We start from the raw sequence: 17148 nt of genomic DNA, 5'->3' as shown, positions 1-17148 counted from the left end.
TCCCGGGCTCAAGCGATCCTCCTGCCTCAGCCTCCAGTTAGCTGGGACAACAGGCGCGCGCCACTATGTCTGGCTTATTTATTTATTTATTTATTTATTTATTTATTTATTTATTTATTTTGAGACGGAGTCTCGCTCTGCCCAGGCTGGAGTGCAGTGGCATGATCTCGGCTCACTGCAGCCTCCACCTCCCGGGTTCAAGAAATTCTCCTGCCTCAGCCTCCCGAGTAGCTGGGATTACAGGTGCCCACCACCACACCTGGCTAGTTTTTGAATTTTTAGTAGAGACCAGATTCCACCATGTTGGCCAGGCTAATCTCGAACTCCTGACCTCAGTGATCTGCCGGCCTTGGCCTCTCAAAATGTTGAGATTACAGGCGTGAGCCACCTCTGCAGGCCAACACTCTTTCTTTCTTTCTTTCTTTCTTTCTTTCTTTCTTTCTTTCTTTCTTTCCTTCTTTCTTTTTTTCGTGAGCCATGGCGGCCAACTCTTTCCTTCCTTCCTTTCTTTCTTCCTTCCTTTCTCTTTCCTTTCTTTCTTTCTTTTTCTTTCTTTCTTTCTTCTTTCTTCCTTCCTTCCTTCCCTTCCCTCCCTCCCTCCCTCCCTTCCTTCCTTCCCTTCTTTTCTTTCTTTCTTTCTCTCTCTCTTTCTTTCTTTTTATTAATTTTTTTGGAGACGGAGTCTTGCTCTGTTGCCCAGGCTGGAGTGCAGTGGTGCAATCTCGGCTCACTGCAAGCTCCGCCTCCGGGGTTCGCGCCATTCTCCTGCCTCGGCCTCCCGAGTAGCTGGGACTATAGGTGCCCGCCACCACGCCTGGCTAATTTTTCGTATTTTTAGTAGAGACGGGGTTTCACCGTGTTAGCCAGGATGGTCTCGCTCTTCTGACCTCGTGATCCGCCCACCTCGGCCTCTCAAAGTGCTGGGATTACAGGCGTGAGCCACCGCGCCCGGCAGCACCATAATTAACATATAGTGAATTTCCATCACCCCAAAATGTGTTCTGGTGCGCGGTGGCTCACACCTGTAATCCCAGTACTTTGGGAGGCCGAGGCCGGTGGATCATCTAAGGTCAGGAGTTCGAAACCAGCCTGACCTACATGGTGAAACCCCATCTCCACTAAATAGAAAAAATTAGCCGGGAGTGGTGGCACACACCTGTAATCCCAGCTACTTGGAAGGCTGAGGCAGGAGAATCGCTAGAACCCGTGAGGCGGAGGTTACAGTGAGCCGAGATCAGGCCACTGCACTCCAGTCTCGGTGACAAGAGTGAGACAACGTCTCAAAAAAATAAAAAAGTGCCCTGGTGCCCCTTTGCACCCTCCTCACCTGCCGCCAGTCTCTGATAATCACTAATCTGATTTCGATCCTTGCACCCCTGGCTGTGTCTCCACGGGAGTGGAGTTCCGTGATGCGCACCTGTACCCCTGGCTCCTTTGAAGGGACTGTTTCTTATTCTTGCTGCAGTTGCCGTTGGCAGTGTCTGACCTGCCTCCCAGACCTGTAGCCTTTTCTTTTATGGAATGAGACCACCACTTCTCCTGTTGTCCTTCCCAGCTTCTCCCCCACCTCCCCTTTTCCCTAGTTTATAAGACAGGAGAAAAGGGAGAAAGCAAAAAGTTGGAAAGAAACAGAAGTAAGATAAATAGCTAGACGACCTTGGCGCCACCACCTGGCCCTGGTGGTTAAAATAATAATAATAATATTAAACCCTGACCAAAACTACTGGTGTTATCTGTAAATTCCAGACATTATATGAGAAAGCACTGTAAAACTTTTTGTTCTGTTAGCTGATGTATGTAGCCCCCAGTTACGTTCCTCACGCTTACTTGATCTATCATGACCCTTTCATGTGGACCCCCTAGAGTTGTAAGCCCTTAAAAGGGCTAGAATTTCTTTTTTGGGGAGCTTGGCTCTTAAGACGCGAGTCTGCTGACGCTCCTGGCCGAATAAAAACCTCTTCCTTCTTTAATCTGGCGTCTGAGGAGTTTTGTCTGTGGCTCGTCCTGCTACACTTCAAAATTTTAGACGGAGTCTCTCTCTGTCATCCAGGCTGTAGTGCAGTGGCGCAATCACCTCTCACTGCAGCCTCCGCCTTCTGCCAGACTCACAGACTTTAAGGAAAGTTTATTGCTGCTGCTTGGGGGAAAAGGAGAGTGGGCAAGAATGTTTTGCGGAGATGACACATTGGCTAAAGAACCAGGGACAAAGCCAGGCGCAGTGGTTCACGCCTGTAATCCCAGCGCTTTAGGAGGCCGAGGCCGGTGGATCAGTTGAGGTCAGGAATTCAAAACAAGCCTGGCCAACATAGTGAAACCCTGTCTCTACTAAAAATACAAAAATTAGCCGGGCATCCTGGAGTGGGCCTTTGGTCCCAGCTACTGGCTGAGGCTGAGAATCGCTTGAACCAGGGAGCCGAAGGCTGCAATTAGCCAAGATTGCACCACTATACTCCAGCCTGGGCAACACAGCGAGACTCTGTCCCCCACCCCCCACCACCCACCACTGCAAACACACACACAAAAACTGAAATAAAAACTGAAATTGAAAATTGGAAAACACTGCATTAAACAATGTTAAACCAGTTCCTATAAGCTAGAACTCCTTGTTAGCTAGGCATGGGAGTGCATGCCTGTAATCTCAGCTACTCAGGAGGCTGAGGCAGGAGAATCACTTGAGTTTGGGAGTTGAGGCTGTAGTAAACTATGATTGTTCCACTGCACTCCAGCCTGGGTAACAAGGTGAGACAGTCTCTGAAAAAAACAAACAAGCAAACAAAACAACAACAACAACAAAACACACAAAGAAAATAGGATCTTTTTGAGACGGGGTCTTGCTCTGTTGCCCAGGCTGGAGTGCAGTGGCGCCATCTGGGCTCACTGCAACCTCCGCCTCCTGGGTTCAAGCTATTCTCCTGCCTCAGCCTCCCGAGTAGCTAGAATGACAGGCGCCCGCCCCAACCACGCCCCGCTAATTTTTTGTATTTTTAGTAGAGATGGGGTTTCACCATTTTTGGTCAGGTTGGTCTTGAACTCCTGACCTCAGGTGATCCACCCGCCTTGGCCTCCCAAAGTGCTGGGATTACAGGCATGAGCCACTGCGCCTGGCCACTTTTAAATTTTTTAATGATCATTCTAGAGGGATTTGGGCAGGAAGCCATTTTTAAACTGGAAGCCAAACATAACTGTCATATTTCATTTCATTTCTTTTCTTTTTTTTTTTTTTGAGACGGAGTCTCACTCTGTCACCGAGGCTGGAGTGCAGTGGTGCAATCTTGGCTCACTGCAACCTCTGCCTCTCAGGTTCAAGTAATTCTCCTGCCTCAGCCTCCTGAGTAGCTGGGATTACAGGCGCCCGCCACCACGCCCGGCTAATTTTTGTGTTTTTAGTAGAGACGGGGTTTCACCATGTTAGCCAGCCTGGACTTGAACTCCTGACCTCAGGTGATCCACCTGCCTTGGCCTCCCAAAGTGCTGGGATTACAGGCGTGAGTCCCCACGCCCAGCCTATTTTATTTCTTTTTAAAAGACAATCTGTACGTGATGATTTTCAGGACTGCAGAAAAAAAAAAAAAAGGCAATCTAAAACAAAAAAAGGGGGAGGGGGTGGAGACAATGTCTGCAGACCACCCTTTGGAGATGCTTCATTATAGAGGGAAGCAGAGAGGTGGCAACTAACTGGAAGGAGATATGGGGTCCACGGGCAGTGGGGAGGTTTCTTGTTTTAAAGGTCAAAGCCAGGTGCATTGGCTTACGCTCATAATCCCAGCACATTGGGAGGTCATGGCAGGATGACTGCTTGAGCTCAGGACTTCAAGACCTGCCTGGGCAATATAGCGAGACCTGGTCTCTACTAAAAATCAAAAAACTTAGCTGGGCATGGTGGTGTGTGCCCATAGTCCCAGCTACTCAGGAGACTGAGATGGGAGGATCACCTGAGTGTGGGACATTGCCGCTGCAGTAAGCTATAATCACACCACTGTACTCCAGCCTGGGCAACAAAGCAAGACCCTGTCTCAAAAAGAGATTCTAGGTTCTAAGATCTTTCCCTTCATTACTTTGAAAATTCTACTCCATTATCTTCTTGCACCTGGTATTGGTGTTGAAAAATCTAATGTTAATAAATAGGCCTCTTCGGCCTGCACAGTGGCTCACGCCTGTAATCCCAGCACTTTGCGGGGCCAAGGCGGGCAGATCACCTGAGGTCAGGAGTTTGAGACTAGCCTGGCCAACATAGTGAAACCCCATCTCTACTAAAAATACAAAAATTAGCTGAGCCTGGTGGTGGTCGCCTGTAATCCCAGCTACTCAGAAGGCTGAGGCAGGAGAATCACTTGAGCTCAGGAGGCAGAGGTTGCAGTGAACCCAGATGGCACCACGGCACTCCAGCCTGGGCAACAGAGTGAGACTCTGTCTCAAAAAGATATAAATAAATAAATAGGCCTCTTGTTCCTTTATCTGTGATCTCTGACTCTCTGGAAATTTTTAGAATGTTCTTTTTGTCTCTGATATTCTTAAATTTCCCCAAAATGTTTCTCGCTGTAAATTTTTCCTTCTCTCTCCTCATTGACATATTCCAACTCTCAATTTTTTTTTTTTAGACAGGGTCTTGCTCTGTTGCCCAGGCTGAAGTGCAGTGGAGTGATCACGGCTCACTGCAGCCTCCATCTCCCAGGCTCAAGCGACCCTCCTACCTATAGGTTTGCGCCACCACACTGGGCTAATTTTTTTTACTTTTTTTTTTTTTTGTAGAGACAGGTTTTTGCCCACCCAGACTGATGTCTAACTCCTAGGCTCAAGAGATCCTCTGGCCTTGGTCCTCCCAAAGTGCTGGGATTACAGGCGTGAGCTACCACGCTTGGCCAAAAAAATTTTTTTTTTTTGAAACAGAGTCTCGCTCTGTTGCCCAGGCTAGAGTGCAGTGGCATGATTTCAGCTCACTGCAAGCTTCGCCTCCCGGGTTCATGCCATTCTCCTGCCTTAGCCTCCTGAGTAGCTGGGACTACAGGTGCCAGCCACCACGCCCAGCTAATTTTTTGTATTTTTAGTAGAGACAGGGTTTCACCGTGTTAGCCAGGATGGTCTCGATCTCCTGACCGCGTGATCCACCTGCCTCGGCCTCCCAAAGTGCTGGGATTACAGGCGTGAGCCACCACGCCCGGCCACGCTTGGCCAAAATTATTTTTAATAAGGAATAATCCGTATACAGATCTTGTGTTCACACTTCATCTTTTTTCCTAATTCTGAGAATTTTTTCTTCATTATTTTTTCAAATATTTCCTCCTTTCCATTTTTCTCTTTCTCTTTCCAGGAATCCTATCTTCTGAATGTTACCATTTCACTTTTATTCTCCATATCCCTTAGCTATTCTTTTATATTTCCTGTTCTTTTATTTTTTCTTCTTCCTTTTGGGGAATTTCTGTTATTCCAGTCCACTAATTTATTCCTCAGCTCTGTCCATTCTGCTGTTTATTCAATCATTTGTGTTCTTTAGTACAACTGTTATATTTTCTTTTTTCTTTTTTTTTTTTTTGAGACGGAGTCTCGCTCTGTCGCCCAGGCTGGAGTGCAGTGGCACAATCTTGGCTCACTGCAAGCTCTGCCTCCTGGGTTCATGCCATTCTCCTGCCTCAGCCTCTCGAGTAGCTGGGACTACAGGCGCCCGCCACCACGCCTGGCTAATTTTTTTTTTTTTTTGTATTTTTAGTAGAGACGGGGTTTCACCATGTTAGCCAGGATGGTCTCGGTCTCCTGACCTACTGATCCACCTGCCTCGGCCTCCCAAAGTGAAGGGGTGGCCTGCCCCTCCACACCTGTGGGATATCGCGTCAGGTGGGACGAGAGACTGAGAAAAGAAATAAGACACAGAGACAAAGTATAGAGAAACAACAGTGGGCCCAGGAGACCGGCGCTCAGCATACCAAGGACCTGCATCGGTACCGGTCTCTGAGTTCCCTCAGTTTTTATTGATTATTATTTTCATTATCTCAGCAAGAGGAATGCGGTAGGAGAGCAGGGTGATAAGGAGAAGGTCAGCAAAAAAACATGTGAGCAAAAGAATCTATGTCATAATTAAGTTCAGAGGGAGGTACTATGCCTGGATGTGCACGTAAGCCAGATTTATGTTTCTCTCCGCCCAAACATCTCAGTGGAGTAAAGAATAACAAGGCAGCATTGCTGCCAACATGTCTCGCCTCCTGCCATAAGGCAGTTTTTCTCCTATCTCAGAATTGAACAAATGTACAATCGGGGTTTTATACCGAGACATTCAGTTCCCAGGGGCAGGCAGGAGACAGTGGCCTTCCTCTATCTCAACTGCAAGAGGCTTTCCTCTTTTACTGATCCACCTCAGCACAGACCCTTTATGGGTGTCGGGCTGGGGGACAGTCAGGTCTTTCTCATCCCATGAGGCCATATTTCAGACTATCACATGGGGAGAAATCTTGGACAATACCCAGCTTTCCAGGGCAGAGGTCCCTGCGGCTTTTCGCAGTGCATAGTGCCCCTGGTTTATTGAGACTAGAGAATGGTGATGACTTTTACCAAGCATACTGCTTGTAAATATTTTGTTAACAAGGCACCTCCTGCACAGCCCTAGATCCCTTAAACCTTCATTCCATACAACACATGTTTTTGTGAGCTCAAAGTTGGGGCAAAGTGGCTGGGGCAAAGTGGCTGGGGCAAAGTTACAAATTAACAACATTTCAGCAAAGCAATTGTTCAAGGTACGCTTTGGGAGGCTGAGGTGGGCGGATCACGAGGTCAGGAGATCGAGACCATCCTGGTTAAAATGGTGAAACCCCTTCTCTACGAAAAATACAAAAAATTAGGTGGGCGTGGTGGTGGGCGCCTGTAGTCCCAGCTACTGGGGAGGCTGAGGCAGGAGAATGGCGTGAACCCGGGAGGCAGAGCTTGCAGTGAGCTGAGATCGCGCCTCTGCACTCCAGCCTGGGCGACAGAGCAAGACTCCGTCTCAAAAAAAAAAAATGTACAGGTCAAAATGGAACTTCTTATGTCTTCCCTTTCTACATAGACGCAGTAACAGTCTGATCTCTCTTTTCCCTACACCAAAGTGCTGGGATTACAGGTGTGAGCCACTGTGCTCGGCCCTTTTTTTTTTGAGTGGGAGTTTTGCTCTTGTTGCCCAGGCTGGAGTGCAATGGTGTGATCTCAGCTCACCGCAACCTCCGCCTCCTGGGTTCAAGTGATTCTCCTGCCTCTGCCTCCTGAGTAGCTGGGACTACAGGCGTTCACCACTACCCCTGGCTAATTTTTTTTTTTGAAACAGAGTCTTGCTCTGTTACCCAGGTTGGAGTGCAGTGGCGCGATCTCAGCTCACTGCAACCTCCGCCTCCCGGGCTCAAGCAATTCTCCTGCCTCAGCCTCCTGAGTAGCTGGGATTACAGGCACGTGCCACCACGCCCGGCTAATTTTTGTATTTTTAGTAGAGATGGGGTTTCACCATGTTGGTCAGGCTGGTCTCGAACTCCCGACCTCAGGTGATCCACCCGCCTTGGCATCCCAAAGCGCTGGGATTACAGGCTTGAGCCGCTGTGCCCAGCCTCAACTTTTATATTTTCAACTTAGTATTTCTTGTTGGTTCTTTTTGGTGTTTTTGTATTCATTTGTTTCATAGTTCTAGTATTTTCCTTTATATCTTTTAATGTGTTTATTAGGCTAATTAAAAATTCTTATTCTGAAGAATTTCAGTTTATGGTTCTTTCTTTTCAAAGTGGTGATGCTTGTTATTGTGGCCTGGAAATTTATTTCCCTTAATGGGTATATTCTGTTTGGCCAGGCAGGCCCCAGTGAGCTCAGGGCATGGGGGTAGATGAGCCTCAGGGAGGCTCTGAGAAAAGACAGCCAATCATGCCTCACCCCATGAGACAACTCCTTGGGTCAATTTTCACACATTGCTCTCTAGAGAGAAGCAGCATTACGAGGACTCATCCCCAAAATGTTACTCCCCAGCCTGGGTGTTTGGAAGAGGGTGGATGAGTAGGCAACTGCTAGAAGCCAGTTAGTCCCCTTCTGTTTTTCTCAGCATTTCACAAACACAGGATGTCTGGGCAGCCCTGATTTGACTGCAGGTATGCCCAGAGCAGAGATCTGAGTCATTGCAGATGTGGAGGCAGATACCATCTGTTCCAAGGCGATGGCGCAGAACCTCCATGGCTCTGTTTTTATCTTCCGATTTCAAAACAGCACACCCCTTCCCATCACCCCAAGAGCTTTTTCACACCTTTTCCTGCAGGAAAGGCCGGCAGAATGCCAATGCAGCACCTTGCTTGACTCTGGCCTGGCTCTGTATCACGACATATCCCCAGCATCTGTTTATTTATCTGTCTCCACTCTATTCCCAGCGTCTGTTTACTTATCTGTCTCCACTCCATGACTGAGCATATTTGGAGCACTTTGCTCAGGGTAGGAAAGATCAATTTTATTCCTACAAATATCAGGCTTTTCGGTTTAGGTTGAGAACAACATGTTTATTTACTCAGCAGGCATTTTAGACCTGAACTGTAACAGGACACTGGTTCCCCACACAAAGCTGTCAGGCCCCACCTTTCCAGAAAAGAAGAGGTGGTATTGGCCTGTTTCTAGGTGCACCCAAGCCATGACCTGCAGGAAAAAGTCCACGTCTCTCCCTCCCCACAACCCACATTCTGTAGTCCAGGGTCACCCGAGAGAGCCTGTACAGTGTTATATTTACTTTGTGGTATGTCTTAAGGCACGGGCCCCTTATTTTATTATAAATTTCCATGTCATCTGTTTCAGGCCCTGCTCACCTGAGCCCAGTGGACTGTTGACAAAAAAGTATTTGAGGAGATTTATTCTGAGCCAAATATGAGTGATCAATGGCCTGTGACACAGCCCTCAGGAGATCCTGAGAACATGTGCCCAAGGTGCTCAGACACAGCCTAGTTTTATACATTTTAGGGAGACATGAGACATCAGTCAAATACATATAGGACTTACGTTGGTTCCATATGGAAGGGCAGGACAACTCGAAGTGCGTGTGAGGAGTGTATCCAGGTCACAGGCAGATTTTAAAGTTTTTCTGATTGGCAATTAGTTGAAAGAGTTGGCCAGGTGCCATGGCTCACGCTTATAATCCCAGCACTTTGGGAGGCCGAGGCGGGTGGATCACCTGAGGTCAGGAGTTCGAGGCCAGCTTGGCCAACATGGAGAAACCCTGTCTCTACTAAAAATACAAAATCAGCCGGGTGTGGTGGCGCATGCCTGTAATCCCAGCTACTCAGGAGGCTGAGGCAGGAGAATCGCTTGAACCTGGGAGGCAGAGGTTGTGGTGAGCCGAGATCATACCATTGCACTCCAGCCTGGGCAACAAGAGTGAAACTCTGTCTCACAAAAAAGAAAATTAGCCGGGTGTGGTGGCACATGCCTGTAATCCCAGTTACTCAGGAGGCTGAGGCGGGAGAATCGCTTGAACCCGGGAGGAAGAGGTTGCAGTGAGCCAAGATGGTGCTGCTGCACTCCAGTCTGGGCGACAGAGCGAGACTCTATCTAGGAAAAAAAAAAAAAAGAAGAAAGACTTATTATCAGTAGAAAGAAATGCCTGGGTTTTGATAAGGGGTTGTAGAGACCAAGGTTTTATCAGGCAGATGAAGCTTCCAGGTAGCAAACTTCAGAGAAAATAGATTGTAAATGTTTCTTACCAGACTTAAGATCTGTGTTGATGTTAATGCTGGTTGGCTTTTCCTGAATTCCAAAAGGGAGGAAGTTATAATGATGCTTGTGTGACCTGCTCTTCCGTCATGTCCTGAACTAGATTTTCAGATTTACTTGGGAATGTCCTTAGCCAAGAAGAGGGGCCCATTCAGATGGTTGTGGAGGGGCCTTAGAATTTTACCTGTGGTTTACAGGACAGAGCTTGGGACCTCACTGTAGTGCTCTGGCCTGAAATGCAAGTGGAGAGGACAGAGCTAACAATGAAACGAGTGAATTATTTTAAGTGCATGAAGTCAGTCTGCAGAGGAGCAGGCACTTAGAGTGAATCAGCACATTGCGGGAAGCTTTTGAGCAGCCCCAACCTGAGCTCTTGTAGTTTTGTGAAAGGAGAAGAGACAGCAGAAGCATCAGCAGCACAGGCAATGGCCAAGGCCCAGAGCAGCAGACAGGCTGCCATCTACACATCTCCAGGCTCTTCTAGCACCCACTTCTTCAGCTTCTCCCTGCTTGTGTTTGGAGGGTCCCTCTTTTTCTTTTTTCTTTTTTCCTTGTTTTTGGAGAACGGGGTCTCGCTATATTGCCCAGGCAGGTTGGAAGTCCCTGTTTTTCTAAGCTCCCCTGGCCATGTGCTTGAGTGGCTCAGCACCTTCTCCCTTCTCAAGGTCCTGGCTGGTGTGGAGGTAGGAGCCATACTGTTCCTTGCCAACCTACTTCCAGGAAAAGCCCAGAGGGGAGGGAGAAGCATATATAAATCTAAAAGGCCATCAGAATTTCTGTATTAAAGTGTTGTCAGTAAAAGAAGAGCAGACCACTTCAGCTGCTAAAGCAGATTATGCTCAGGCCTGATGCTCAGAAAAACAGCTTTCACAGCGGCTGCTTCTCAGGAAGGGAAAACAGCAGAGTGTTAGAGGCTGGCAGCTAATCTGAAAGTGGGGGTGGGAGCCCTGGGTCAAAGGAAAGGCTGCTTGGCATGATGGGGAGATGACAGTAAGGCCCTCATCAGATAGGCCCTACAGGCCCTTCTTCCCAAAACAGTGCTGAAACATCTCCTTTGCTAGATGCAGCAGTCAGTATTTTCCACTCTGACTCAGAGTGAGCAGAGCAGTTCTGAAAATTGGGAGCGTTATCTTTATTCCTCAAGGCTGGTTTTTGGGAAGCCTGGACCACTGCCTTCCCCTGCTGTGTCCAGCAGAGTCACGTGGTCCCAGAGCTTACTCAGCCCCTCCCGCCACAGCTAATTCATATCCATCCCTACCGCAGGCTTCAGAGAGCAAAGGTGATGGCTGCCTTGCTGCTGCTAAGGTTCACCTTTCTTATTTTATTTTATTTTATTTATTTTGAGATGGAGTCTCTCTCTGTCGCCCAGGCTGGAGTGCAGTGGTGCCACCTCGGCTCACTGAAACCTCTGCCTCCTGGGTTTAAGCAATTCTCCCTGCCTCAGCCTCCCAAGTAGCTGGGACTACAGGGGTGCGACACCACGCCTGGGTAATTTTTGTATCCTTAGTAGAGACGGGGCTTCACCATGTTAGCCAGACTGCTCTCCAACTCCTGCCCTCAAGTGATCCACCCATCTCGGCCTCCCAAAGTACTGGAATTACAGGCGTGAGCCACCGCGCCCGGCCTTGAGTGTATTTCTATTATTAACGATACTGCAGGGAACATCTGTGCTCATACTTCTTTTTACACATCTGTGAGAGTATCTGTAAAATTCCCAGATGTGGAATTGCTGGCACAAAGGGTATGTGAACTCGAGATTTTCTTTTGTTTGTTTTTTGAGACAGAGTCTCGCTCTGTTGCCCAGACTGGAGTGCAGTGGTGCCACCTCGGCTCACTGAAACTTCTGCCTCCTGGGTTTAAGCAATTATCCCTGCCTCAGCCTCCCAAGCAGCTTGGACTACAGGTGCCCGCCACCACGCCTGGATAATTTTTTGTGTGTGAGTATTTTTAGTAGAGACGGGGTTTCAACATGTTGGTCAGGCTGGTCTCGAACTCCTGACCTCAGGTGATCCACCCGCCTCGGTCTCCCAAAGTGCTGGGATGACAGGCACTTCGCCCAGCTGCAGTTGAGATTTTCATAGCTACTTACCCAACTGCCTTCCAAAGAGGTTGTACCAGTTTACACCGACCAACAATACATGAGGATGCATTTCTCTGCACTCTTGTAAACAAAAGTATTAACAGTCTTGTTTTATCTTTGTCAATCTGAAATATTAAAAAATGCCACTTCATACATTGAATGGTCATTTTTCTTATGCTAAGTGAAGCTGCACATCTTGTCATGTGTTTAAGAACAATTTTTGGCCAGGCGCGGTGGCTCACACCTGTAATCCCAGCACTTTGGGATGCCGAGGCGGGCGGATCACGAGGTCGGCGGATCATGAGGTCAGGTGATCGCGACCATCCTGGCTAACATGGTGAAACCCCATCTCTACTAAAAATACAAAAAACAAAATTAGCCTGGCGTGGTGGCGGGTGCCTGTAGTCCCAGCTACTCGGGAGGCTGAGGCAGGAGAGTGGCGTGAACCCAGGAGGCAGAGCTTGCAGTGAGCCGAGATAGTGCCACCGCTGCACTCCAGCCTGGGCGACAGAGTGAGACTCCGTCTCAAAAAAAAAAAACAACAATTTTCTTTTCTGTGAATTGTCTGCTCCTGTCCTTTGTCCATTTTCCTATTGTGTTATTAATCTGTTTCTCATATATTTATAGAAACCACTTATATATTGAAGAAATTAGTCCTTTCGGTGGGTGCAGTGGCCCATGCCTGTAATCCCAGCACTTTCAGAGGCTGAGGCAGAAGGATCATTTGAGGTCAGCAGTTCAAGACCAGTCTGAGAAACATAGCAAGAACCTGTCTCTACAAAGAGTTTTTTAAATTAGCCAGGTGTAGTATGTGCCCCTGTAGTCCCAGCTACTTGGGAAGCTGAGGTGGATCACTTGTGCCTGGGACATGGAGACTGCAATGAGCTGTGATCGTATCACAGCACTCCAGTCTGGGTGACAGAGTAAGATCCTGTCTCAAAAGAAAAGAAAAAAAAGAAAGAAATTAGTCCTTTAACGTCAGGCACAGTGTCTCATGCTTGTAATCCCAGCACTTTGGGAGGCTGAGGTGGGCGGATCACTTGAGGTCAGGAGTTTGAGACCAGCCTGGCCAACATGGTGAAACCCTGTCTCTACTAAAAATACAAAAAATTAGCTGGGTATGGTGGCACACGCCTGTGTTGTAAATATTTCTTCCTCGTTTTTAATTTACAAAATATGTCAAGAGACTGGGCACAGTGGCTTATGCCTCTAAATCCCAATGCTTTAGGAGGCTGAGGTAGGAGGACCACTTGAGGCCACGAGTTTGAGACCATCCTGGGTCATATGGTAAGACCCCACCTCTACAAAAAAATAAAAATCAAAATAAATTAGCCAGGCAAGGTGGCATGTGCCTGTGGTCCCAGCTACTCAGGAGGCTGAGGTGGGAAGATCACTTGACACTGGAATTTGAGGATACAGTTAGCTATGATTGCACCACTGCACACAAGCCTGGGCAGCAGAGTGGGAGCCTATCTCTAAATACACACACACACACACACACACACACACACACACACATACACATATAAATATATATGAAGGGATGCATTTACACCATAGAGTTGTTTACAAATGCCCCATTAGTATGAGTTAAATAAATTATGATATATACAACAGAAAGCTATGCAGCTATTTAAATGAAGATATATATTTATTAGCATAAAACAATGTAAGTAGAAAAATTAAGTTTAAAAAAGCAGGATAAAAAATAGAAAGCATTATATGATAACCCATTTTTTAAAAATCTGTGCTATCAATAGTTACCTCCAGATGATGGGAATTTGGTAATTTATTTAGGTAATTTTACTCTCTTCTTTTTACCGTTCCAGATTATCTGAAAAAAAATTTTTTTTTTTTGAGACAGAGATTTGCTCTTGTTGTCCAGGCTGGAGTGCAATGGCGTGATCTCGGCTCACCACAACCTCCGCCTCCTGGGTTCAAGCAATTCTCCTGCCTCAGCCTCCCTAGTAACTGGGATTACAGGCTCCCGCCCACCATGCCCAGCTAATTTTTTTTTTTTTTTTTTTGAGACAGAGTTTTGCTCTTGTCACCTAGGCTGGAGTGCCTTGATGCGATCTCGGTTCACCGCAACCTCTGCCTCCTGGGTTCAAGCGATTCTCCTGCCTCAGCCTCCCAATTAGCTGGGATTACAGGCATGGGCCACCATGCCTGGCAAATTTTGTATTTTCAGTAGAGACGGGGTTTCTCCATGTTGGTCAGGCTGGTCTCGAACTCCCAACCTCAGGTGATCCGCCTGCCTAGGCCTCCCAAAGTGCTGGAATTACAGGTGTCAGCCACCGCGCCCGGCCCACGCCCAGCTAATTCTTTGCATTTTTAGTAGAGACAGGGTTTCACTATGTTGGCCAGGCTGGTCTTGAATTCCTGACCTCAGGCGATCTGCCCGCCTCAGCCTCCCAAAGGGCTGGGATTACAGGCGTGAGCCACCGCCCCTGGCGTCATGCTATTTTTAAATGTGTTATAAACGTATGAAGCATGGGGGTATCACATGGGGTATTAGGAAACAATTATAATAGTGCTCAGTATGCTTGGCAAAGTATAGCCACATGATATAAAAGGCGTTTGTCAAAGCTACTATTGACACTGGAGTTAAGATAGGCATTAATCAGTAGATTTTTCTTTTTTTTTTTTTGAGATGGAGTCTTGCTCTTATCGCCTAGGCTGAAGTACAATGGCACGATCTCGGCTCACTGCAACCTCTGCCTCCCAGGTTCAAGTGGTTCTCCTGCCTCAGCCTCCTGAATAGCTGGGATTACAGGCACCTGCCACCACGTCTGGCTAATTTTTTTTTTGTATTTTTAGTAGAGATGGGGTTTTGCTATGTTGGCCAGTCTGGTCTCCAACTCCTGACCTTGTGATCCTCCCGCCTTGGCCTCCCAAAGTGCTGGGATTACAGGCGTGAGCCACCGTGCCTGGCCTCAATCAGTAGATTTCAATGGCTCCAGAGTCTCTCTGTCACTGGTTTGTTGATCCCTGGAAGGAATAAATGCTATTATGGTCTAGGGGTTGTGGGATGGCAGGTTTCCTCTTCCTGAAACATCTTTACCCTAAGAAGGTCATTAATTTGATTTCCCCACCCCAGCCCCTGCCCCGCTTTTGTCCCTGCAAATTTGGTCCAGGCTTGGGAGAGGGCTCCAGGGTGTTAAAAAGCTGCCTAGTGGCTGGAGGGGGAGGCTCAGGCAGGCAGAAACCCTGATCGTTTGAGAGGAGCCTCTCAGAGGTCGCTGGGCTCGCTAGGCTCCCAGTCGTGCTTGAGGGTGGCAAGACTTTGGAAAAGACAGTTGCTTGACCCAGCTCCGGGCGGCCAGCCCGCAGAGGTCAGGCGATCATCCACTCTCTTGACGAGTTTCACTCCCACATCTAGGAAAGGCCTCTCTAGGAAGTCCCAGAGATGAGGTCTGTGCCAGCAGAACCCAGGGCGTGAAGACCCAGAATAGGCTGGTTCAGGCTCCTCTCCAGGGCCAAGGCTGCCCCCGCGGCATCCAGGGTTTTATCCCACTCATCTCATCTGCAGGTCCTGCAGAAGAGCGGGCTGCCATGCTGGCTTTGCATCTTCCAGAGACGCTTGGCCAGTTCACCTTCCAGAGCCACATCGTCACGGCTGAAGTAGAAGCCCAGAGAGATGCCAGTTGACCAGGCAGTTAGTGGTTGCCTCCGCCTGGGTGGAATGATTCTGACACATCTGGGAGCTCATGCTTGGGGACAAGAAGCAGATAACCACAAAAACGGTGTTGGCTGGGCCCAGAAGCAGGAGGTTGCCAAGAAGATGGTCTTGGAGGCTCAAGTGGAAAGGAGATGGGAGGCGATCAGAGGCTGGAAGAGGGAGCCCCCTGGTCTGTTCGTTCCAAACACTGTTGAAGCAAAAGACAGAGCCAGAACCCAACATGCTAACTTCAGGCAACGCGCTGTAGATTTCGAATGTGTGTTATGCATAGTTTTTTTTTTAATGTGTGTTATTAATAGTTATCAACAAGCCTTATACCTTCATTTATTCCTTTGGCCCAGAAGCCATAAAGAAAAAGATTGTCAGATGATGATGATGATGATTGAGACAGGGTCTTGCTCTGTCTCCCAGGCTGGAGAGCAGTGGGGAGATCACAGCTCACTGCAGCCTCGGCCCCCTGGGCTCAAGTGATCCTCCCACCTCAGTCTCCCGAATAGCTGGGACCACAGGTGTGTGCTACCACGCCCAGCTAATTTTTTATCTTTGGAGAGATGGGAGCATTTTTTTTTAATTAAAAACTTCTGTTTTTACAAAAGACACCATAATTGAAAAGTGAAGTAAGGCCAGGCACAGTGGCTCAGGCCGGTAATCCCAGCACTTTGGAAGGCTGAGGCAGGCAGATCACTTGAGGCCAGGAGTTTGAGACCAGCCTGGCCAACATGGTGAAACCCCATCTCTACTAAAAATACAAAAATTAGCCGGGTGTGGTGGCGTGTGCCTGTAAGCCCAGCTACTTGGGAGTCTTGAACCCAGGAGGTGAAGGCTGCAGTGAGCTGAGATCACACCACTGCACTCCAGCCTGGACAACAGAGTGAGACACTGTCTCAAAAAAAAAAAAAAAAAAAAAAGTGAAGTAAGTCTGAAAGACAATATTTACCACAATTAGATAAATTATTAGTTGTTAGAACATATAAAGAAGTCATACAAATTCATACTAAAATTGGGCAAAGGAAATGAACAGATAATTCGCAAGACAAATTAATGTTAAATAAACATTCAAAAGGTATCCAATGGCAGAAGTAATCGGGCACATGCAAATTAAAACAATAAAGTGTTCTTTTTGCCCCTCAACGTGTCCAAAGTTGAAATGATTCATAATGTATAATATTAATGAAGTGGTGGAGGACTAGATACTCTCTCTTATGCAGTATTGGTGGGAATTGATATTGGTACAGTCTTTTTAAAAATTGTGATCAGGCCGGGCACGGGGGCTCACGCCTGTAATCCCAGCACTTTGGGAGGCCGAGGTGGGCGGATCACCTGAGGTCAGGAGTTCAAGACCAGCCTGGCCCACATGGAGAAACCCCATCTCTACTAAAAATACAAAATTAGCCAGGCTTGGTGGCGCATGCCTATAATCCTAGCTACTTGGGAAGGCTGAGACAGGAGAATCGCTTGAACCTGGGAGGTGGAGGTTGCAGTGAGCCAAGATCGCGCCATTGCACTCCAGCCTGGGCAACTAGAGCAAAACTCTGTCTCAAAAAAAAAAAAAAATTGTGATCAACTATAAATAACAAAAAATGTACCATTGAAGCCATTTTTAAGTGTACAGTTTGGTAGCATTACTTAATATTCATTGTGTGTGACCATCACCACCATCCATCTCCAGAACTCTTTTCATCTTGCAAAACTGAAACTG

At 47.6% G+C, this 17148-nt stretch overlaps 1 pseudogene, besides 1 other annotated feature; it reads right to left on the bottom strand.

Annotated features, from left to right (window-relative positions):
- Nucleotides 7702-8765: a transcriptional cis regulatory region, noted in NCBI's record as "candidate enhancer chr17.878 targeted for multiplex CRISPR interference". NCBI's record gives its function as "positively regulates TRPV2 gene expression with high confidence in K562 cells {active_cell/tissue: K562}" and the evidence as "EXISTENCE:mutant phenotype evidence [ECO:0000015][PMID:30612741]".
- FTLP12 (ferritin light chain pseudogene 12) lies at nucleotides 15030-15479 on the bottom strand (annotated as a pseudogene).

Source organism: Homo sapiens, chromosome 17 (assembly GCF_000001405.40).
Source record: "Homo sapiens chromosome 17, GRCh38.p14 Primary Assembly".
Classification (NCBI taxonomy): Eukaryota; Metazoa; Chordata; class Mammalia; order Primates; family Hominidae; genus Homo; species Homo sapiens.
The sequence above is the reverse complement of the archived record's forward strand: the minus strand, read 5'-3'. Positions and strand labels throughout refer to the sequence as shown.